Source organism: Homo sapiens, chromosome 6 (assembly GCF_000001405.40).
Source record: "Homo sapiens chromosome 6, GRCh38.p14 Primary Assembly".
NCBI classification, from domain to species: domain Eukaryota; kingdom Metazoa; phylum Chordata; class Mammalia; order Primates; family Hominidae; genus Homo; species Homo sapiens.
The window spans coordinates 122,786,557-122,810,063 of NC_000006.12; the positions used below are offsets into that span (position 1 = coordinate 122,786,557).

The 23,507-nt window shown below is 40.4% G+C and overlaps 1 protein-coding gene across 2 annotated transcripts, besides 8 other annotated features; it reads left to right on the top strand.

The window, feature by feature from the left end:
• Positions 2,512-3,013: an enhancer, noted in NCBI's record as "H3K27ac hESC enhancer chr6:123110213-123110714 (GRCh37/hg19 assembly coordinates)". NCBI's record gives its function as "activates a minimal SCP1, AML or CMV promoter by ChIP-STARR-seq in naive H9 embryonic stem cells {active_cell/tissue: H9 hESC(naive)}" and the evidence as "EXISTENCE:reporter gene assay evidence [ECO:0000049][PMID:30033119]".
• Positions 2,512-3,022: a biological region, named in NCBI's record as "H3K27ac hESC enhancer GRCh37_chr6:123110213-123110714".
• SMPDL3A (sphingomyelin phosphodiesterase acid like 3A) lies at positions 2,702-23,164 on the top strand. 2 transcript variants are annotated; one of them, NM_006714.5, is made up of 8 exons: positions 2,702-2,902; positions 9,121-9,334; positions 10,268-10,412; positions 14,754-14,850; positions 17,108-17,277; positions 18,353-18,533; positions 19,677-19,801; positions 22,535-23,164. In NM_006714.5, the coding sequence occupies exons 1-8, from the start codon at positions 2,791-2,793 to the stop codon at positions 22,850-22,852; spliced, it is 1,362 nt and encodes a 453-aa protein (NP_006705.1). In that variant the 5' UTR covers positions 2,702-2,790; the 3' UTR covers positions 22,853-23,164. The 2 variants fall into 2 exon arrangements, with proteins under 2 accessions (NP_006705.1, NP_001273067.1); NM_001286138.2 differs by lacking the exon at positions 9,121-9,334.
• Positions 2,728-3,022: a silencer, noted in NCBI's record as "tiled region #5986; K562 Repressive DNase unmatched - State 4:PromP". NCBI's record gives its function as "represses a minimal TATA promoter and a strong SV40 promoter by Sharpr-MPRA in K562 cells {active_cell/tissue: K562}" and the evidence as "EXISTENCE:reporter gene assay evidence [ECO:0000049][PMID:27701403]".
• Positions 3,014-3,513: an enhancer, noted in NCBI's record as "H3K27ac hESC enhancer chr6:123110715-123111214 (GRCh37/hg19 assembly coordinates)". NCBI's record gives its function as "activates a minimal SCP1, AML or CMV promoter by ChIP-STARR-seq in naive and primed H9 embryonic stem cells {active_cell/tissue: H9 hESC(naive and primed)}" and the evidence as "EXISTENCE:reporter gene assay evidence [ECO:0000049][PMID:30033119]".
• Positions 4,128-4,422: a silencer, noted in NCBI's record as "tiled region #4155; HepG2 Repressive non-DNase unmatched - State 1:Tss". NCBI's record gives its function as "represses a minimal TATA promoter and a strong SV40 promoter by Sharpr-MPRA in HepG2 cells {active_cell/tissue: HepG2}" and the evidence as "EXISTENCE:reporter gene assay evidence [ECO:0000049][PMID:27701403]".
• Positions 4,617-4,786: an enhancer, noted in NCBI's record as "experimental_89596 CRE fragment used in MPRA reporter constructs". NCBI's record gives its function as "activates a minimal promoter by MPRAs in K562 erythroleukemia cells, with activity observed for the non-introgressed 6:123112403 or rs13200490 variant allele {active_cell/tissue: K562}" and the evidence as "EXISTENCE:reporter gene assay evidence [ECO:0000049][PMID:34662402]".
• Position 4,702: a transcriptional cis regulatory region, noted in NCBI's record as "Neanderthal adaptively introgressed variant 6:123112403 (GRCh37/hg19 assembly coordinates) or rs13200490 in the experimental_89596 CRE". NCBI's record gives its function as "modulates activity of the experimental_89596 enhancer by MPRAs in K562 erythroleukemia cells {active_cell/tissue: K562}" and the evidence as "EXISTENCE:reporter gene assay evidence [ECO:0000049][PMID:34662402]".
• Positions 11,728-12,022: a silencer, noted in NCBI's record as "tiled region #10347; K562 Repressive non-DNase unmatched - State 24:Quies". NCBI's record gives its function as "represses a minimal TATA promoter and a strong SV40 promoter by Sharpr-MPRA in K562 cells {active_cell/tissue: K562}" and the evidence as "EXISTENCE:reporter gene assay evidence [ECO:0000049][PMID:27701403]".
• Positions 23,165-23,507: the final 343 nt, after the last annotated feature.

Below are 23,507 nucleotides of genomic sequence, written 5' to 3' on the forward strand. Positions count from 1 at the left end.
ACCTGGCACATGGAGACCTACAAATATATGCCCATGGTTGAGATATGCCTGTAGAGATGTTGGGGCACTGTAGTTTTTTGCTTCTTAGTGAGTATTAAGAAAAAAAAAAAGAAAGTGGAGTGAGTAGAAAGAAGGATGGTGTTTCTACCCACTAATTTTAATATACTGTACTTTTTAGGATTTCAAACATTTCTTAAGTTTCAAAATGTGTATGCCTTGTTTTATGCTTACTGAAAAACTATTTTGCAACCAGTTACTTCCAGTAAAGTATATTGAAATTGGAAAAAAAAAAAAAAGGAGTGAAAAGAGCTATTTTTATAATTTATCCTTTTCCTAGCTTTAAATGTTTGGACTAAAAACTCCTAAGTTGTTTTGTTAATCCTTACAGTCGTTTTCTCTCACCAGCTCACCAGTTTTTTCTGGCTCCATTTTCTCCCATATTCTAGAGGTTGTGAACTGAGAAACTCCAGGGACCATCTTGTCCTCCACTGGAATGCACTTTGGTTCTTGCAAGCTTTTGAATCATCCAAAAGCTGAAGCAGGACTTCGGCTGCCCTGGCAGGACTTGAAACTGTAACACAAAAGTACCTGAGACAGGTCTCAATCAATTTAGGAAGTTTATTTTGCCAAGGTTAAGGATGGGCCAGTGACACAGCCTCAGGAGGTCTTGACATGTGCCCAAGGTGGTCAGGATACAGCTTGCTTTTATACATTTTAGGGAGACATGATACAGCAATCAATACATGTAAGATTTTTACATTGGTTCGATCTAGACGGGCAGGACAACTTGAAGCTGGGCGGGGGGTGGGTGTTTCCAGATCACAGGAAGATTTAAACATGTCCTGATTGGCAATTGGTTGATTGAAAAAGTTATTATCAATAGAAAGGATGTCTGGGTTATGATAAGGGGTTGTTAGACCCAGATTTTGTCACACAGACGAAGCCTCCACGTAGCAGGCTTTAGAGAAAACAGATCTTAAATGTTTCTTATCAGACTTATGGTCTATGTTGATGTTAATTACGCATGTCCAACCCCCCCATCCCCTTTTTCATGGCCTGAACCAGTCTTTCAGGTTAAATTTTAGAGTGCCCTGACTGGGGAAAGAGTCCATACAGATGGTCGTCCATTCAGATGGTTGTGGGGGGCCTTCAAATTTTATTTTTGGTTTACAAAACAGAAAATGGAAGCACCTTGCTTCCCACTTCAAAGCCCGTTTCATGACACACACTCCCATTAAATTACATGGGATACAAAACAAAGCTTTCTATGCTGGGAAAGAAATACACTCTACAACATCTTTTTTGAGGTTAGTAATTATGGAAAGCATTTTCTTCTGCAAAGGAATTCCACGCCCTATAAATTTAAATTATTAGCTTGTCATCTCCAAGAGATCAGCATCCTCATAAACGGTGAGAGAAGGAACACAGAATACAGGATCCAGCACAGTTTCGGGATTCTGGCTTCTTTGCCAGACTTATCTTTGCTTACTTCTTTGTATAGACTTACTTCTTTGCCAGACTTATCTTTGCTTACTTCTTTGTATAGACTTACTTCTTTGCCAGAAGTATATTCAAAAAAGTTCCGTGGAAGCATCAAATCAACCACCTCTACTTATGATTTCCATGCATCTCTGGAATGCATAAAGCATGATTTCAGAACATGTTCTAATTCTAAGACCCTTCTCTTCCCGGCAGTTTAAAAAAAACAAAAAACAAAACGTCGTATCTTTGAGCATTGGTTTTCAAACATCACAATCACTTTAACATGACCTGAAATGCTTGTGAAAACACAAACTGCTGGGCTCCAGCAGGTTTCTGACTCAACAGGTCTAGGGTGGTGCCTGGGAATTTGCATTTCTAACTAGAGTTCCCAGGTGGTGCTAATGTTCCCAGTTCAGAGACTTCAATTCGAGATCCACTGCAGTATCCATAACTTTTGCTGATTTCCTTCAAATCATGATACTTCAGGGCTCTCTGCATCACCTCTACTGAGGAGCCCTACCCATTAAAGCTGGGGTAGGTTGGCCCAAGAATGGAACCGGGATCGTTGAGATTTCAGCACCCCAGCATTTTTTAGTGACTGAAATAATGAAAATTCTGATCAGGCTCCTGCTTGCTTGCACATTTTAACCACTCGCTTTTTGCCCAATATTCTCCTTGTTTCCACAATATAATTATAAACTGCTGAGGTACTGCTTCCTCGTCAAGAACAAAGAGGTTAACTTCAGGGTCACAAAAATGTTTGCAGAAGGGATGAATACCTCCAAGGGCTTTGCAACCAGCTGCGGATGCCTGGACGTCTAATTGCTCAAAGGTGTTATCTGAGACTGAAGAAACAGACTTTTCCCCTGGATTCTTTGAAAATCCCCCTCTCTTATTCTCTAGCAGAATAAAAACTCCCTGCTTTTTCCTTTTTACACACGGATTTGAGAGATCTTGTTCTCCCTCCTTCTGGCTTTTACTAAATTGAATGTCTTTCTCTATCCCCAAGCACCAGTATGTCAGTGTTTGACATCAACTGCACCACTGATACACGAGTCGGAATTTGAGCTTCTACAAGTACATTCCTTCCTAGGCCAAACACTGACGCTAAGAAATACGAGAACAGATCATCGCTAAACAGCAGCTGAAGGTCAGGCGAACTGACTCGCTGCGGAATCTGCCTTTGCACGTGATCAGTCGGACGTCTACACCCGCAGCCGTCTTCTGTCTCCGCCTCACCCTCAGGCCTGACGGTCCGAGTGGAGCTGCGGGACAGCCCGAACCTCCAGGTCAGCCCCGCGGCCCTCCATGGCGCTGGTGCGCGCACTCGTCTGCTGCCTGCTGACTGCCTGGCACTGCCGCTCCGGCCTCGGGCTGCCCGTGGCGCCCGCAGGCGGCAGGAATCCTCCTCCGGCGATAGGTGAGTTGTCCGCGACCCTTCTCTTCCCAGCCGGCAAAGAGCGCGGAGCGGCGGCGCCTGCGCACAGCAGGAGAAAGTGCGTGGGGGCAGCTGCCCCCGGCAGAGGCTCGGGCTAGCGGGGCCCCTGACGCGTCCGGCGTTGACCACGGCTGGTGGGCGCGGGGAGGGCGACCAAGGGACTACAGCGTTAGGGCGTCCAGCCGGGAGGCCGGGGCTGGGCGGGGGAAATGCCCTCGCCGGTGGGGGCGCTCCAAGGGCGCGTCGGCCGGATTTCGCCAGCCTGGCTTTTGTTTACATCCTGCATCTCAGTTGTTTTGTTCCTTGGGGAAGGAAGGAAAAGCTGCGGGACTCAAGGGAAGAGGAAGCTGGGAGTCCGATGTCCAGCACAGCAAGAGGCCCCTAATCGGTCCTGAATGGAGGGGGACTGCAGTTTCCCCACCAGCTCAGGGAAGTAAATTTCAGCGTGACTCACACTATCTTCTGTCTTGCTCGACCGAGATCAGTGGCTTTTTCTGCCACTCACCCAGCCAGAGCGCGAAAGCACCCTCGGGTAGACTCACCCCTTAGTCTACCGTGGAACTCACGGGGACTTCATTTCACCTGGATGTCCACTAGGTTTCCTGCGGGCGGGACCCATTTTATTCACTCCCAGCACTTAACACAGTGCCCGTTACAGTAGTGATTCTCTTAAGTGTGCCCTGGACCGGTGGCAGCAGCCGCCGCACTTAAAATTGTTAGCATTGCAAATTTCCAGCCCATCCCAGACCTACTGAATCTGAAACGCCGGCGTTGGGCTTCCACAGTATGCTGTTTAACCCACCCTCCGCATGATTCCTTTCGGCTAAGTTTGAGACTCACTGGTCCAGAATAGATACATTTTGGTGGGAGATTGTACAATGCCATCCGAGCCTCCAGTTCCAAAAATCAAGGTGCCCTCACCTCCTCAACTCCCTTTAAAAATAATTGCACTGTTAAGAGGAAAAACAAAATTAGAGAAGTGGGGTTCTGTTTTCTTTTAGGGGAGAGTTGTCCCTGAGACTCGGTAGCAGCACCTAGTGCTGAAACCTCTTTCGCTCCCTCTGTGCTTTCTCAGGACTTGGGAGCGCTCTAGGGCAAATATCTTCTCTTTGAAGGCCAAGTCCTCACGACTCAGCTGTCAGGTCTGAAGCAAAAACTGTAAATCTGGTTTCCGAACTGTGGCAAATGTCAGTCATTACAAGAAATTTCCCCAAAATGTTTATGTATACTGGTTTCTGCTTTTATTACGGCTTAGCTTGTGTTCCTTTAATTATGTGACCGGTTAGGGTTTTGAAATAAAATGTCTCACGTTGCTTGAGGCCACACAATGGCAAATTCACCTGTGTTTTAAAGAGGCCTGAATGAGCGCTTTCTGGGGACTCTGTGAGTCTTCACACCTCCTGTTTGGGAAACTGCAAGGTTGAATCCCCTCCTACTAAAGGGGAAGGAAGAGGGGTTACTGGAGTTCAGTGGTCTGAAGTGTTACTGGAGTCACTGGAGTTCGAAAGTCTGAAGTGTTACTGGAGTTCAAAGGTCTGAAGTGTTCACTCAGCAGTTTCACAATTCTCCTTGTTTGTAATATTTTGCGTATTTTCCACTTGATGTGACAACTCTCCTGCCTCCTCTCAGCCCCACATGCTTGGACTTCCTTTCAGCATCCACCCTGCCTGGCTACTGCTTTCTTGTTTTGTGTTTTTGCGTTTAAATTCCCAGTCTTAGTTTTCTGCCCTGTCAAGTCCTGGTGGTCGGACGACAGAAGTTCTAGGAAGCTTCACCTGTGTGTTTTTGGCTACAGTTCTTTAGATTGAGTAGGCTGGGACTGGCTTGTGTATTGGTACTGTTAAAGCAAACTAAATACGGCCTGAGAAGGACTCCTTACTTCTATATTTGAATCCTTGTGAATGAACTGTAACCTAGCTTAATAGTCAGATGAGACTGAAAACCTAACTTAAGAGTATGCACTGGTAACAATAGCTAAGTTTGGCCAATCCCAGCAGCCATACTTCAACCATTCATATACTGCTGAGTGTTCAAACTATGTTCAAATAAGGCATAAGGCGAGCTGAATTATGTCTGAACTATGGTTCATTGGATTCTTGAGAAGTTATAAAATATTTTGGATTAAAAGATTTTCTGGTATAATTTTGAGAGTTTTTCTAGATTTGCTGAACACACACACATATTTTTGGAAGTCTTTTTAAAAATTTATTTTATTATTTTATTTTATTTTTTATTTTGAGACAGTCTCGCCCTGTCACCCAGGCTGGACTGCAGTGGCGCAATCTCGGCTCACTGCAAACTCCGCCTCCCGGGTTCACGCCATTCTCCTGCCTCAGCCTCCCGAGTAGCTGGGACTACAGGCGCCCGCCACCATGCCTGGCTAATTTTTTGTACTTTTAGTAGAGACGGGGTTTCACCGTGTTAGCCAGGATGGTCTCAATTTCCTGACCTCGTGATCTGCCCATCTCAGCCTCCCAAAGTGCTGGGATTACAGGCATGAGCCACCGCGCCCGACTTGGAAATCTTTTTAAAGATAGTCTGCAGAACAGGAAAACGTGCTGTAGTAAACAGAACTTTGGACTTTGAACTAGGAAACATGGATTGGAGTGTGGGCTCTGCCACAGGCCAGGCCTTGGAAACACACATAGGCACACAGTTTCGTTAGGAGAGGGACATGAGGCTTCCAGATGTTCATTATTCATGAGTCCCAGGTTAAGAACCTGTCAGAGCTCTGTTCTTGGCTTCTGTTTAAAGACATCTTTCAGTGAATTTAAATGATTATCCCCTAATTTATCTGTCTGGAATGCCATGCAGTAGAAAGATCACTAGACTAGAAGTCTGGAGAGACTGGTTCCAGTTAAGCTTTCATTACTGAGTCATCTGTGATCTTGAGGATATCATGAAATTTGCCTTTGCCTAAATGTCATCATATATAAATTAAAGAATGTTTGTTGAAGGGCTACTATAAGTCATGCATATTCTAGATGCTGGCGATATAAATCTAGGTACTAAATTATATCAGAGGGGTGTACTCTTAATGCATTTCAGGTTTGGGTTTACTGAAACAGATGCTGAATATGTTTATAGTCTCTTTTCCCCTAATCTTCACAGTATCTCGAGTGTAGATATTGTCGTTATCTGTTTTCTTTCTTCTTCTTCCCCTTTTTTTTTTTTTTTTAGAGACAGGGTCTCTGTCACCCAGGGTGGAGTGCCTTGGCCCAATCTTGGCTCACTGCAGCCTCAAGCTCCCTGGCTCAAGAGATCCTTCCTAAGTTTTGTATTTTTTGTAGGCATGGGGTTTCACCATGTTGCCCAGGCTGGTCTCAAAATCCTGAGCTCAAGCGATCTTCCTGCCTCAGCCTCCCAAAGTGCTGAGATTACAGGCATGAGTACCCGTTTTCATTATCTGTTTTCATGTGAGGCAAGTGAGATTGGAGATATTTGAATGTGAAAACACAGAGAGGAATTGTATGTGGATAAGGGCAATGTGGACTCTGGAGTCAGATTTCCTGAATTCATAGTTTAGCCCTGTTGCAGATGATAGTTTAGATCTGTTGCAGATGATGCATGTAACTTGAATTTAATCTCTGTGTGCTTCAGTTTCTTATCTGTAAAATGGAGTATACATAATAATGAGCTCATACATGTGAAGCATAAAAAATAGTACTAAACATGTAATAAGTACTTGAATTTTAAGTATTACTTGGAAATGGGGTTTGAAGTTAAAAAAATAACAGTAAAACTAACATTGAGCTTACTTGGTTCCATACACCTTCTAAGGGCTTTACTTCTACTAAGTCACTTAACTCTCACAGTAGGCACTATTATTATTCCCATTTCATCAATGAAATAGGCCAAGATCACATAGCAAGATTAGTGGGTGGTGGAGCTTGGGTTGGAAGTCAAACAGTCTGACTCTGGCCTCCACTCTTAACCACGACACTGTATTGTTTCATGTTCATTTACTATACCCTTACATTCTCGAAATAATACAAATACATGTTCACGTTAAAATGATTCTCTGGGATGACTCTGAGCTATTTGCCATCTTTACTTTTTGTGCTGGGTAAAGTATATCTAAGATGGAAATAAAGATTGGGGTATTTTCTGCATTATGGAATAAAATAAAATTGCTTTTGTCAGATGTTTTCAAATAGTGACTAAGTGCCAAGTAATTGACCATACTACTACTTTCTTCTGGATCTTTTGTCTACCATTTCTTAGTTGTGAACATAAATATGTCATGGAATTATAATGACAACTATGTTGGGAAGAAACAACCACCAAAAGATAACTCACCCCTTTCACCTTAACGTATCAACTGTTTCACCTTATTATCCCAGCTTTGGGTTTTATTCAGTTGTAACATATTGGTAGAGTTTAAAGTTTGCATCCTACCTGTTTACTCTGTGCTTCTGGTGTAGTACATGCTACTTTGTCACTTCTGATGTGTTTCTAGTCATAATCAGAGTAAACTCAAAAACCCAAAAGTGTGGAAAAAAATCTCTTTATTAAAACAATTTGAACATGGTTTATAAGGATCATTGAATATATATATATATAAATGATGTATAAACAAACTTGGAAGCCCTTCAGTATGGGAGTTCAGATTTATTAGCTGTGTATACTTTAACAAATTTTCTATTTGACCCAGCACTGGTTTTTCAATTCTAAAATGAGGACCATAATTCCCAGTTCGGAGAGCAGTTTTGAGAATCAAATGACATAGTATATTTAAATTGCTTATCACAGTGCCTGGCACATAGAAAATACTTAATAAAGAGAGATACCACTGTGATTATTTGTTCTAGTATTACCTTCAATAAAGGAAACTTTCTTGGCCGGGTGTGGTGGCTCACGCCTGTAATCCCAGCACTTTAGGAGGCTGGGGCGGGCACATCACGAGGTCAGGAAATCGAGACCATCCTGGCTAACATGGTGAAACCCCGTCTCTACTAAAAATACAAAAAATTAGCTGGGTGTGGTGGCGTGCACCTGTAATCCCAGCTACTCAGAAGGCTGAGGCAGAAGAATCGCTTGAACCCGGGAGGTGGAGGTGGCAGTGAGCCAAGATCACGCCATTGCACTCCAGCACTGGAGACAGTGTGAGACTCCATCTCAAAAAAAACACACACAAAAAAAAACTTTCTTAAGATGATTTCCAAGTAAGGGTGCTATCAAATGGGCTTGGCTGCTTCCTAAAAACCCAATGGAAGCATCCTTTTTAACAACTGCTTCCCTTAATTTTATTAACATTTTATATGAGTATATGATAGAAGATGTACCTCTATTAAATAGCTTTTAAGAAGCTTTGGGAATTCCTATTTTTGGCTTAAAGCTTGTATTAGAGATTTATGTTCTTTGAATTAATGTTGAGAGGCAAGGTTTATAAGAAAGTAAGAGTGATATATAGTTCCTGGTTCTGCAGTCTACCTACTCACTGTGTAACCCTAACAAACGACATCATATTTATACGTCAATTTTTCTACAAGAAGAATGTAAATAATTTGTAAAATCTTAAACTCTTAAAGGAGACATGCTATTAAGACACAAGATGATGTCATCATTGGCCTCTCCGAAGGGTATTTTCATACATTTTATTATGGAAACATAGCTTTGCTAAATATTCTTTGTTAGGTTATCATGCTGATACTAATACTGAGCTCATCGGTTCTTTTTTTTTGAGACGGAGTCTTGCTCTGTCGCCCAGGCTGGAGTACAGTGGCACGATCTCAGCTTACCACAACCTCCACCTCCCGGGTTTAAGTGATTCTCCTGCGTCAGCTTCCCAAATAGCTGGGATTACAGGCGTGTGCCACCACACTTGGCTAATTTTTTATATTTTTGGTAGAGATGGGGTTTCACCATGTTGGCCAGGTTGGTCTCGAACTCCTGACCTCAAGGGATCCACCTGCTTCAGCCTCCCAAATTGCTGAGATTACAGGCATGAGCCACCGCGCCCGGCCTGAGCTCATCAGTTCTGACACACTTAAGTAGTAAATTGTTCCTACAGTTCCTTGAAGCTCATCTTCTCACAGAGAAGGACTGTATTTAACTTCGAGGCTTATGAACATTTAAATTACCAAGGCTTTCCTCCATCACAGGGAGGAACAACCGTCTCTAGTCTTAATATAAATATTTTTATGAGAATTCCAAAAGAGAACAAGTAGATTTATCTGCATTTTTTGTGTAATCAACAGGACAGTTTTGGCATGTGACTGACTTACACTTAGACCCTACTTACCACATCACAGATGACCACACAAAAGTGTGTGCTTCATCTAAAGGTGCAAATGCCTCCAACCCTGGCCCTTTTGGAGATGTTCTGTGTGATTCTCCATATCAACTTATTTTGTCAGCATTTGATTTTATTAAAAATTCTGGACAAGAAGCATCTTTCATGATATGGACAGGGTAAGTGATTATACAAGTACCATTAATTACTCAATATTTATTTACAGTGTCCTAAGCTTCATAAGAGTGCTGAATTCCATAATAAGATTAGTTACATTTTAAGAGTTATTTGAGTTAAAAAAACACTAGGTCAAACTAATCAACATTATTAGAGGTAAGAACAATTTTAGAAGTGTTTTTTTTTGGAATACAGATTTCAGAAATATGTCAGTGTTAACTAAGAGATGAATCCATAAACAGCACACTTGCATCAATATCTTGAGGTGTTGATATTAGGTCTTCATGAAATTATCAAAGACAAAAGGCAATAATGGAAGTTTACCTGTCATGACAATTTTGTAAAGCATCATCTTCTGGCAGTATAACTAACTGGTTCCCTTCATCATTATAGGGTGAAGAGGCCCATATTTCTTTACCTGGAATAATGACCATGGCTAATACTTGTAGAATATTTACTTGGGGCTTGGCACTGTTTTAATTAACTTATACATTGTAACTTATTTAATTTTTACAATGGATATTATTATTCCCATTTTACAGATGAGGAAATGAAGGCACTGAACATCTAAGTAACTTACGAGTATACACAACTAGTAATTGGCAAAGCTGGGATTTGAAATAGGCATTTGGGCTCTGGTTCAATTGGCATCTGCTTTTAATTATTGCAGTTTTTAGCCTCTTATAAATCTTCAGTCAGGTAGTGAAATAGGCTGGGATTTCCAGCTTATTTTTTGTATTATATTTTGTTAATTTTCTTTTATAGGATTATCTGTAGGGTAGAGGTAAGTGAAGAGTAGTCTATCAACTCTTTAGCTGTAATCTGCTGTTTTAAAATGGAAGTCTGCAGTGATAGGTATAGCAACGCATCATGCATAAGTCTAGTAACTCTTTATGAAACTGATTTTGTTCTTTACAATCTCTCTCTTTTTTCAGGGATAGCCCACCTCATGTTCCTGTACCTGAACTCTCAACAGACACTGTTATAAATGTGATCACTAATATGACAACCACCATCCAGAGTCTCTTTCCAAATCTCCAGGTTTTCCCTGCGCTGGGTAATCATGACTATTGGCCACAGGTAAATTTGATAGACTTTCAGAAATGCTTAAAGAATTTTTCCTATTAGTAGTGTCAAAATTGTGACAATAACTAGCTAGTGATAGGGCATGGGAATGGGTCTTATAGAGGGAGAATATGGTCTTAATCCTAACCATCAAGAAAGGCAAAGACAAGTACTTCGGGGACTGTAAAAGTAATCTTTTAATACTTCATGAGAAGTTGTATCAATAGTGAGTTTTCAGAATAAAATTATCCAGTTTGTGGATGATTAATTTATGTTTTCCTTCATAATCTTCTTCAATTTCTCTTTTCTTTTGAGTAATGTTCTGGTTCATTTGCATGTCCATGACAAGGTTAGCAAGTAAGGTTAATATTGATAAATATTTACTTTTTCCAGAATTCTTATTAGACCTACAAGGATGTGCATACCCTGATGTAAGCTAGACTGTAAATAAAAACAAAAACTTACAAATTGCCATAAGAAGCAAAGAGGAAGGAGGTCCATGTTCAAGTCATAGTTTATCTAATTAAGACATGATTCAAGGCAGAAACCATGTTCAGAGCATTTAATGCCTGAGATACCCCCGGCTCAACAGGTTTTTATTTGAGAACCAACCTGTGCATAACAGCAAGATGGCCGTCCGGTTTACAGCATCCTATTGTAGTAGTGTAAAATCTTAGATTTGTACCCAGAGATTTTTGTTTAAGTCCAGGGCTGGGCAATTGTCTCCTGTGGTACAAATTCAGCCTGTTGCTTGTTTTTGTAAATAAAGTTTTATTGGAACACAGCTATGTTTCCATTCATTCTACATTGCTTTTGATTGTTTCATGTTTCAGAATAGAGCAGTTGAAATGGATAGAAAAAGTTTGCTGACCCCTGGTCTAGACCTACCCTTCATTTTGTAGGTGAGAAAATGAAGGCTCAGAAATGTGAATTACTTGTCCAAGTGCTCCACATCCCTTGGGAGCAGAGCCCATACGCTAGATCTTTTTACCTCAGATCTGTGTTCGCTTAAACCAACATCCTTTTGCACATCCCTTGCCTTGCCTGATTAACATACTCAATATTTCCCAAACATATCTACTTTCACGCCTCTCTGTGTCCACATTTTTCTCTTTGCTTAGAATATCTTCCATCTCATGTCAAATGAATGCTGAACGGGGGTTTTGATTATTTTTAGTTAATCGAACCTGAATACAGTAATTTTGATGAGTTGTATTCTAGAATAAGCTTAAGTTTCCAGTGACTTCTTGTCCCTGGCCTACTATCTTGAGATGAGTAATATGTGAGTCCTTTTGAGTCAGCCTGTCAACGAGCATTTGTTCCTGTTGATATGTTAGACCACACAGTGAAGAGGCTTGGGAACAAATGAGCTCCAGCAGCCCAAGGTCACACACATTGTGTTTATATGCCTTAGGTGGCAGGAAGACTGGAATATTGGAAAACACAGGTGTTCATAGTCACTAGAATGTAAATCTTTAACCAGCCCTGCTTTCCACTCCCTCCCTCTCCGCCACCACACCTCCCTCCCAGCCCTGCTTTTAATAGCTTGGCCAACTCGGGTGATTCACTTAACCTCGCTGATGCAGAGATCACTCATTTGTACATAGAAGCTAGAAATACCTACCTTGCAAAGCTTTTGTGAGCATTGGTGATATGAAAAAGGCATAGCTTACTATCTGGCACAGCATCAGCCCTCAGTAAGTGGGCTGGTGGTGATTGTCACATTAAGTGGTGACAGGGGATACATGTTTGTAACTCCTTTGAGGATTTGTTTGATTTTATTTTTATCTCTGTCCTCTTTTTGTCAAGTCAGATCTTACAATTCAAAGACAGAAATGCTACCTAACTTCTATAACATATCCTATTATATTAATATATACAGCTAGGGTAAATTGGGCAGCCTACATACCTTTAACAGTTAATTTTTTTTCTCTTTCTAGCTTATGATCTTATATCTAAAAATGTTCTTTCTGTTATTCTACTACCATCTTTCCACCTCACAGTTTCGGAAATGTCAAATGTAACATGAAAGCTCCACAACAAAATTTCTTAGAGGCTGATGTCTGAGATCTAACTCTGGAGAATGTTAGAAACAAATAAATTTCATAAGTGCTATTTTTCCACTGAAATTCTATGTTCATGCAGCATAGCTACATAAATATACATATACAGATGCATGTCCCCACCCATGACATCAGAAGTAGGTATCAGTGTGGACATCCTGGAGAATTCTTCCTGTTGCCACCCAAGGAAGGGTCCCCATTTACTCCTACACTGGCAAGACTGGTGCCACCGAATTTGTGGGTAGGTCACTTTCCATTAGGCTTCATTTCTCAGCAGTGGTTATGTCACAGCCAAAAAGGACTGGGAAGGAAACATGGTGCAATAGACAATTGACTGTGAGAGTAATCATGGGATTTAGACCAGCCCTGAGACTGACACCTATCCCTGGATAAGCCATCTAACTTCTCTGGTGCTTGTGTTTCTCATGTTTAAAATAGAGAAGAAAGTCTAAGTGATTTTTACATAATTCTAAGCTTCTCCATCACCACACCATACTTGGCATCCATCCCAAAGTAAATAAATGGCCAAGACTTTATGGCTTTTTATTATATGATGATAACGATGCGTACCAATTTTCAATCAGAATCTAGATTGGCCTAAGCTGTTGTGTAATTCTCAGACAGGCGACCCTGATCTTGGACACAAACTGAAAATACATGTTTAGTCCAATTAAAACAAGTCATTTGGTTATTACTTGCCCTATATGTATCTATATGTTCATCATGTATTAGACGCATGTATCAAGAACTACTAGGACTTGGGCATCTTCTTGAAAAATAACTTTTGATAAACTCCTCTCAGAAATAGGTCTATTTTACCAATGTACAGAAGTAAATGAAGAGAGTGAAGAAGGGGTTTCAGTCATTTAACATAATTTTTTAAAACAAAATTAAAAACAATTATCCAATTCACAAATGATTTATGGGTTTTTATTCAGTATTTACTTTTTTTTTTTTTTTTTTTTGAAACAGGGTCTTTTTCTGTTGCCCAGGCTGGAGTGCAGTGCAGTGGCACAATCATAGATAAATGCAGCCTCGCCCTCTGGGGCTCAAGCTGTCCTCCTGGCTTAGCCTTTCAAAGTGCTGAGATTACAGGCATGAATCACCATGCCCTGCTTCAGTATTTAACTTTCTTAAAGTTTTGTTTGTTTGTTTTCCTCCAGGCGAGGCTCCCCATTTACTTCTACACTAGAGCTTATGTCATCCTGAAGATACTTTATGATAATAAAAATGTTTTGTACTTAAAATGTGTTATTTAAAAAATCAAAATATTTTGATATAATTTATGCTGCCCTAAAGAGACTTCTCCAAATCAAAAGCATGTGGTTGTAAATCTTTATTCAAAGAGTTAAGAAGCTTATAATAGTTTGAACAGTTCAGAAGACTTTGTTAAATTCTAAAACATGATGTTTTCCCGTTCCCTCGGCATGCTGCATCGGGCAGTGCATGTGCAGGCTCAAACCTGCCTTTGGCATCTCTTTAATGAGCACACTCCCACATCCTTCCCATATCCTAGCCATGCTAAAACATGAGCTTTTCTCTGTACATGGTACACACCTATGGAACTCTGTGCTTTTGCCTGTGCCTATGCCTATGCCTATGTTTGTATCTGGGCCATTGCATTTGCTTTGATGCCCTTTTGTTAAGTTGATAAAGTCCTTATTTAAGGCCTGGCTTAAATAGTCTCTTCACTCTCTAATTCCCTGGGCTACACCTTTTTTGTTTGTTTGTTTGTTTGTTTTTTTGTTTTTTGAGCCAGAGCCTCACTCAGTTGCCCAGGCTGAAGTGCAGTGGTGCGATCTTGGCTCACTGCAACCTTCGCCTCACGGATTCCAGTGATTTTCCTGCCTCAGCCTCCCAAGTAGCTATGATTATGGGTGCTCACCACCATGCCTGGGTAATTTTTGTGTTTGTAGTAGAGATGGGGTTTCACCATATTGGCCAGACACTTCTTGAACTTCTGACCTCAAGTGATCCGCCTGCCTTGGCCTCCCAAAGTGCTGGGATTATAGGCATGAGCCACTGCACCTGGCCCTTGGCTACACTTGATTGTTCTTGCTTCTAGGCTCCCCGGACCTCTGGGTAGTGCCCAGCACATTGTCTTATAGTTAATTGGTTACATTTTATCCCCCAGTCTCCAACTAAGTTATAATTCCTTGAAGATGAAGTCTATCTAATAATCATCCTTGCATCTCTAGATGCCTAACGTAGTAGTCAGTGCTCAAGTAGTGTTTACATTAATTCAGCTGTGTATCTTTAAATTTCAATGGTGGATTATATTGTTTGTGGCCAGGATCAACTGCCTGTAGTCACCAGTAAAGTGTACAATGCAGTAGCAAACCTCTGGAAACCATGGCTAGATGAAGAAGCTATTAGTACTTTAAGGAAAGGTAAGTGAAAGACTTAGTTATTCCTATTTTGCCTCAATTTTTATTCATGTTATTTAGACTTAAATTTTTAATGTTTGCTTGAGTGTGCCACTTCTGGAGCACAGCCCCCAGTTTTTGTGGAGGACAGTGAGTAGTAATGCTGCCTGTGACACAGGTCGTGAACCTGTTTATCTTGCAGGGAGCTCTTCCTGTTTTTCTTCTATTCTTTTTTCTTCTTCTACTCTTAATTAGGTAGGTATGTTCCCCATGGAGCAAAAGCTGAACTTTGGATTTGAATGTAAATAAAAGTGTATGTTTCTAATTGGAAAATTGATTGAGAAGAGAGAATGGACACTAACTTCTAACCAAGCAGCACAATTTTATAAAACAAAGAGCTGGTAAAGTGAGGATAACTAAGCTTTTAACATGGACTTTGAGGTGCTTGGGAAAGTAATGCATAATTAGTGCATAGTAAGGCCTTCCCTGGGTCATGTCTAAAGGCCCTCTGCTCCACTGGCTCTTGACACATCATTATGTAAATCCCTGACATTTTGTGAGCTTAACTGAGGTGTGCAGCTGTTAAACTAAGACTTTGGTGTTTTCAGAATGTTGAGACAAATATTAAGTTAATGGCTAGACTTCTCTCAGTTAAAATACTTCTTTCGGTATTTTTGTTAACCCTTTGGCTTTTGCCACTATTTTGTTATTGTTTTTGCTAGCATGCAGCAAATCATAGTATATATGAATTTGAGACATGATAGCTTAGAATTAGACTATGGTTCTGATTAATCTAGGGAACTATATCTAGTCTTTTTTTTTTTTTTTTTTTTATTAAGATGGAGTTCCACTCTTGTTGCCCAGGCTGGAGTGCAATGGCATGGTCTTGGCTCACAGCAACCTCTGCCTCCTGGTTTCAAGCGATTCTCCTGCTGCAGCCTCCTGAGTAGCTGGGATTACAGGCACCTGCCACCACACCTGGCTAATTTTTGTATTTTTAGTAGAGATAGGGTTTCACTATGTTGGTCAGGCTGGTCTCGGGCTTCTGACCTCAGGAGATCCACCTGCCTCAGCCTCCCAAAGTGCTGGGATTACAGGCATGAGCCACCGTGCCCGGCCTATGTCTAGTCTTACACTTCACATCCTACAAGACACGTGGAGAGCTTATGCAGGTTGAAGGGAGAGCCATAAAGAATGATCAAGATCCCTAAAGAAATGCTCTGCCTTCTAAGGAGACTCAGCATAAAGCAGGGGAGGCAGAAAAAAGCTGAGAAGTGGAATGCAGGCCCTAAGAAAAAGCCATATGAGTTTCATAATGATATCCATTCCAATGATAGCCCTCAAAGATCCAGTTAAACACTGGAGTATAATATTAAGTTAAAAATCATAGAAGCCATCCTGAGAAAGTCTTAAAGGCAAAAGTGATTTGGGGCAGAGATGTCTTGCATGAGGGGCCTCAAACTTTGTCATCCCAGAGGCCCTAGTGAGACCTGTTGTCATTTTCTACTACTTGGACATGAAAGCAGCTTCTCAAAAATAACTTCTGACAAATTCAAACCCAACTGACCTGCTAGTACCATAATAAAAATAATAAGGTGTTGTGACTACAAGAAAGAATAGAGAAAATTAAAGGGGCAGTGATCCATCATGATTGAAAGCTAGGGAAAGCCGTGCATAGTGAGTAGGCTCAGGGCAAAGAAAGCTGGGCCAGATCTTAGTGCCCAGCTCTGAAAGTGCCATTGCAACAGACCCTTGGGTGTCCCACCACCAGTGGTTCAGAGGCGTGGGTGGAATGATGCCTTTAAACCTCCTCTCCCCTGAGATTGTAGCAGCTGTGGTTTGTCTGACCTTTTTTTCCGAGTAGTCTCTAGCAAGATCCATATGTGTTACCATTTTTTGGATTTTATATTTCACAATGTCTCTCATCTTAAGCCCCTAATCATAAAAGTAGAAGTTGATGTGTAAATCTTTCTTTCATAAAACTCAATCTCATTGCTTACTGCCGAAACACTTATTTATCTTTTCATGTGAATATTGGATACAGCTGTTGTTATCTCAATATGTTGGAAGCGATAGCACGGGGCCTGGCACCATAGCAGGTTTGCAGTAAATGCTTGCTAAATCTGATTCTTATCTAATGACAGCCTATCTATGTGCAAACTAAACAATGAGAAATAAGCACCAACCTCCTGACTGGATTGTAAACCTCAGGAATTTGCTTTCACAATGTTTGTGTGTATGTGTATGTTTTCCTAAATGTGTTTTAAAATTGTTTTTATAGGTGGTTTTTATTCACAGAAAGTTACAACTAATCCAAACCTTAGGATCATCAGTCTAAACACAAACTTGTACTACGGCCCAAATATAATGACACTGAACAAGACTGACCCAGCCAACCAGTTTGAATGGCTAGAAAGTACATTGAACAACTCTCAGCAGAATAAGGAGAAGGTAGATCCCATAGACCAAAACCATCTGGGAATAAACGGAAGGCAAAATTTGTATGTTTATTAAACTCGGGGTAGACTCCAGTATCAATAAAAGTATTATAATTTGAAGATTTTTTTTGCATAAACACTTTACAACTCATGGATTTTCTTTCTTTTTTTTTTTTTTAAATTTCGAGATGGAGTCTTACTCTGTTGCCCAGGCTGGAGTGCAATGGCGTGGTCTCGGCTCACTGCAACCTCTACCTCCTAGGCTGAAGCGATTCTCCTGCCTCTGCCTCCCCAGTTGCTGGGATTACAGGCACCCACCACCACGCCTGGCTAATTTTTGTATTTTTAGCAGAGACGGGGTTTTACCATGTTGGCCAGGTTGGTCTTGAACTACTGACCTAGGTGATCCACCCACCTCGGCCTTCCAAAGTGCTGGGATTACAGGTGTGAGCCACTATGCCTGGCCAACTCATTTTAGTTTTAAATTTTTTTTTTTTTCAGAGACAGGGGTCTCACTCTGTTGCCCAGGCTAGAGTGCAGTGGTGTGATCATGGCTCACTGCAGCTTCAGCCTCCTGGGCTCAAGTGATTCTCCCACCTCAGACTCCTAAGTAAGTGGGACTACAGGTGTGCGCCACCACTCCTGGCTAATTTTTTTTTCTATTATTTTTTGTAGAGACAAGATTTCACCATGATGCCCAGGTTGGTCTCGAACTCTGGGGGGCTCGAACTCTGCTTTGGCATCCCAAAGTGCTGGGATTACAGGCCTGAGCCACCTTGCGTAGCAAGTTTTATTTTGTTTTGCTTTTACTGCTTTTAGGATTAGTGGACATCTATTGGTATAAAAAGAGGCCAATTCAAAAAATTGTGACTGAAGTCACAGTTGCCTTATATCATCAACAGTGTACAAATATAGTGACCCTAATAGTTTTATAATTTCATCTCTTTTTCTTATAAATAGAAGAGATGATATATTTGCTTTCTAAATTTTAATTAATATACTTTCAATCTTGGGTATCCAAATGTCATTTAGTTATGATGAATGTGCAGAAAGATTCTCATGAGGCCTTTTTGTGTTTCTTTTTCCAGGTGTATATCATAGCACATGTTCCAGTGGGGTATCTGCCATCTTCACAGAACATCACAGCAATGAGAGAATACTATAATGAGAAATTGATAGATATTTTTCAAAAATACAGTGATGTCATTGCAGGACAATTTTATGGACACACTCACAGAGACAGCATTATGGTTCTTTCAGATAAAAAAGGTAATGTAATGCTGTGTTTGCATCTCCCCAGTCTAAGAGTCTAGAGCAAAGCGGTGAATATCCAGTAAATTTGCTGATTTAGTAAATTAAACGTTTTATTTAAAAATCTGCCAGCATTAGCCTTTTCTGAATTATCCTCAATGGTTGTATGATGAGTGTCCAAATCACAACATTAGGCCTGCAGCTGGATTTCTTCAACGTAAGCTCCTATTAGCTCCACAGGGCCAGCGTTACTTATTTGCTGTCAACACAAAAGCCTCAGAAACCCTCAGCTCACTCAAATGTTCTTTTAAATCTTCGAGTTTAAAGAAATATCACTCTATTTTAACTGCTACACTCAAGTTTCTTTTGATGCTACATGTTTTATTTCTCAGAATTTAGAAAGCAAAGCACAATTTACACAACGGCTTAAAATAAAATATATTAAGCTCTTACTTGCAAGTTCTTATTGATACATATATAAGCAGAGAGAATGATACAAACAAACCTCCTATGTACTCAACACTCACATTCAACATCTATCAAGATTTTTCAGTTTTTTTGTTTTGTTGTTGAGACGGAGCCTCGCTCTGTTGCCAGGCTGGAGCGCACCCTGCGATCTCGGCTCACTGCAACCTCTGCCTCCCTGGTTCAAGTGATTATCCTGCCTCAGCCTCCCGAGTAGCTGGGACTACATGTGTGTCACCACGCCCAGCTAATTTCACCATGTTGGCCAGGAAGGTCTCGATCTCTTGACCTAGTGATCTGCCCGCCTCGGCCTCCCAAAGTGCTGGGATTACAGGCATGAGCCACTGCACCTGGCCTTATATTCTTTTAATTTTTTGCTGGAGTATTTGAAAGTGAATCTCAAACACTGGATCCATTTTGGCACTACATATTCTATATTCATTGCTAAAATATATGGATAATTTACATAACCACAAACTTAGTTAACAAAATCAACAATAATTATCTGGTATCAATAACAAAAATGTCCCTATTTTCTCCAAATTGTCTCTTTACAGTTGTTTCAAGTCAGTATCCATTAGTGATCACATATCACTTGGTTATGTCTGTTAATCTCTTAATCTGGAAACTTTATATTTTTAATATAGTTAAACTCTTATTTAAAAATGTATGTTTATGTGCATACGTTTTGTTCAGGAAGTCCAGTAAATTCTTTGTTTGTGGCTCCTGCTGTTACACCAGTGAAGAGTGTTTTAGAAAAACAGACCAACAATCCTGGTATCAGACTGTTTCAGTATGATCCTCGTGATTATAAATTATTGGTAAGTTGGCAGATTTCAGAGCTGACCCCATATTTATGCATATCTTTGCAGTTTTCATTAATTTAGTTGAATTTTTCTCAGGACAGTCATGTGAGATGTATTTTATGTTGAAATCTCCTGGCATCCTTCTTCTTTTTTATACTTGCAATGTTATCAGGACTTACTAAGTGTGAGCTGATGAAGTTAGTCTTTGGAAGGCTGTTTCTGTTCTGTTCTTCTAAGGACTTCACATTTATTTAGATGCTTTCATTGGTTAGTGCCATGTTTGTGGACTTGTATACGTACTGAAATGTTTCACTAAGCCATGTTCATTCTTCTTCTCCAGAATATAAGTATCAAGAAGAGTGTAGGCTCTGTTACCATTCCCTCTCATGAGCCATTATTTCTAAACTTTTCTGTGTCCCAGTCTATTTCTCCATGAAATGGGAATTAAAATATTATTTAATTCACTGAGTTGCTATGAGGATTGCATGAACAAATCTATGTAAAGCACTTAGAAAAACGCTTGGCTCATACTAAATGCTTAATAAATGTTAACAAACAAGATTTTATTTTCAAGTTCTTGTTCTGTTACTCAGGCTGGAGTGTAGTGGTGCGATCATAGCTTACAGCAGCCTCAAACTCCTGGGCTCAAGTGATCCTCCCACCTCAGCTTCCCATGTAGGCGGGACTACAGGCATGTACCACCAAGCCCAGCTAATTTTTATAATCCTATTGTAGAGATGGGGGGGGGGGGTCTCCCTATGTTGCCCAGGCTGGTCTTGAACTCTTGGGCTCAAGTGATCCTCCCACATTGGCCTTCCAAATTGCTGGTATTACAGATGTGAGCCACTGGGCACACCCAAAAAATTTTTTTAAAGGAAAAAAATGGTAGCTCACGCCTGTAATCCCAGCACTTTGGGAGGCCGAGTTGGGTGGATCACGAGGTCAGGAAATCGAGACCATATTGGCTGACACGGTGAAACCCCGTCTCCACTAAAAATACAAAAAAGTTAGCTCGGCGTGGCGGCGGGTGCCTGTAGTCCCAGCTACTCGGGAGGCTGAGGCAGGAGAATGGCGTGAACCTGGGAGGCAGAGCTTGCAGTGAGCCGAGATTGCGCCACTGCACTCCAGCCTGGGCGACAGAGCGAGACTCCGTCTCAAAATAAAATAAAATAAAGGGAAAAAAATTGAATTGGATATTTGGGACAAAAGTTCTTTGGAGCAGCTTCATGGCTCCTTGCTTTAGAACAATTTAGCACAAAAGACTGGCCATTTAGCTTATGGGTACTTCAGTTTGGGTAACTTCCCCTTTCTACAAACATAATTTGAAAATAATTCACTTCAATTAAAGCCATTATTGGTATAACTGCTTTTTTTTTTCTGGATGAATTTAAATAGGAGATGGTTCTGTTATTCCCCAGAATAACAGGGAGGAGGTATGGTGGCAGAAATCTGGTTTTATTCATAAATATTTGATTAAATGGGAAAATGAAACAATTGTGTGATAAATTAGTCCAAAAGAATTTTTTCTACAACTTTCAGTTGCCTAATTTTGGATCTGAACCTCAGATATATACATCCACACACACACGTATATATCCATCTATATATGTGTTTATGTATCTAATACACAGCATCTGAGGTTCAGACTCCAATGTATATTTACGTGTGTACATATGTACTGATGTAGGAAGATTCTCCTGATATAGCACTAAATAATTTCTAAAAATATAAAAATAATTTCTTATATAATTTCTAAATAATTTCTTAAAACACAACAACATATATAGTAAGACTCCATTTTTTTGAAAAAGCCAAAAATGTAAATAAGTATGCACATTCCAAATATTTATCTTTGTTTTGATCTAAAGCCTAGATCACCACGCATACAATGGAGTACTGACAAATGTTTAACAACTATTCACTGAGGGGAAATGTGCCTTAATTGGTAGTGTTTGCCAATTTCCATGACAGAAATACTCACATCATGGACAATTTCAAGCTACCAAAGTGCCACAGATTGACTAGCAACATTCTTAAAAATTTGACAGTCGGCTTTTGTGAGCTGGTACGAGCTGCCTTCAGCACACCACTGATACACACAACCATTAGTGATGGTTACCTCTGAGGATGTGTGAATTGAAGGTTTTTTATTTTGTTCACCTCTCTTTATAGTTTGGATTACATGCTATTATGTTCTTTCATCATTTTTAAAATTGAAAAAGTGATACAGGTTTTTTATTGAGCCTCCCTTCCTCCCTCCCTCCCTCCCTTCCTTCCTTCCTTCCTTCCTTCCTTCCTTCCCCCCCTCCTCCCCCCTCCCTCCCTCTCCTTCTTTCTTATTTATTTATTGAGACAAAGTCTTGCTCTGTCACCCAGGCTGGAGTGCAGTGGCGCAATCTCGCAATCCCGGCTCACCGCAACCTCCGCCTCCCGGGTTCAAGCGATTCTTCTGCCCCAGCCTCCTGAGTAGCTGGGATTACAGGCACCCACCACTATGCCCAGCTAATTTTTTTTTTCTTTTTTGTATTTTTGGTAGAGATGGGGTTTCACCATGTTGGTCAGGCTGGTCTCAAACTCCTGACCTCAGGTAACCCACCTGCCTCAGCCTCTCAAAGTGCTAGGATTACAGGCGTGAGCCACAGCGCCAAGCCTAAAATGTCACAGAAATTTAAACATGAACGCTTCTTGTTGTACAATGCCTTATGTGCCAAAAAGTGAACCAGGTTTTGTTACTGTTCTTAACTGCAGGATATGTTGCAGTATTACTTGAATCTGACAGAGGCGAATCTAAAGGGAGAGTCCATCTGGAAGCTGGAGTATATCCTGACCCAGACCTACGACATTGAAGATTTGCAGCCGGAAAGTTTATATGGATTAGCTAAACAATTTACAATCCTAGACAGTAAGCAGTTTATAAAATACTACAATTACTTCTTTGTGAGTTATGACAGCAGTGTAACATGTGATAAGACATGTAAGGCCTTTCAGATTTGTGCAATTATGAATCTTGATAATATTTCCTATGCAGATTGCCTCAAACAGCTTTATATAAAGCACAATTACTAGTATTTCACAGTTTTTGCTAATAGAAAATGCTGATTCTGATTCTGAGATCAATTTGTGGGAATTTTACATAAATCTTTGTTAATTACTGAGTGGGCAAGTAGACTTCCTGTCTTTGCTTTCTTTTTTTTTTTCTTTTTGATGCCTTAATGTAGATATCTTTATCATTCTGAATTGTATTATATATTTAAAGTGCTCATTAATAGAATGATGGATGTAAATTGGATGTAAATATTCAGTTTATATAATTATATCTAATTTGTACCCTTGTTGAAATTGTCATTTATACAATAAAGCGAATTCTTTATCTCTAAATATGATGAAGTTTTCTTAACATGATAATTTTTAGTTAAAATCTGTGTATTAACTGAGGTCCAAATTGTTTACCTCTCATATGTAAACAGATGTTACCACTGTTTACATGCACTATCTACTCTTGGGAAAATACCATGGTCATTAGGAGCATGCTGAAACATCACAGGGCATGTATTGCCTAGCTTTCTTCATTCTGAGTCTTTGGCATTGCTAACTTTTAAGGATGAGAATGTCACACATACTTATTGTATCTGCAGTACTAGCACAAGGCCTGGGTCCTAGTCCAGTGCCTGGCACCTAGTAAATAATTGTTGAAATGAATTGAAAGCTGTGAATATTTTTC

What these genes read in the sequence shown, in the direction of transcription:
- SMPDL3A (NM_006714.5), top strand. Translation starts at nt 2,791, where the DNA reads ATGGCGCTGGTGCGCGCACTCGTCTGCTGCCTGCTGACTGCCTGGCAC. An exon ending in GAATCCTCCTCCGGCGATAG is followed by an intron (nt 2,903 to 9,120) that starts GTGAGTTGTCCG and finishes TGTAATCAACAG; the next exon opens with GACAGTTTTGGCATGTGACT. An exon ending in GGTTCTTTCAGATAAAAAAG is followed by an intron (nt 18,534 to 19,676) that starts GTAATGTAATGC and finishes CGTTTTGTTCAG; the next exon opens with GAAGTCCAGTAAATTCTTTG.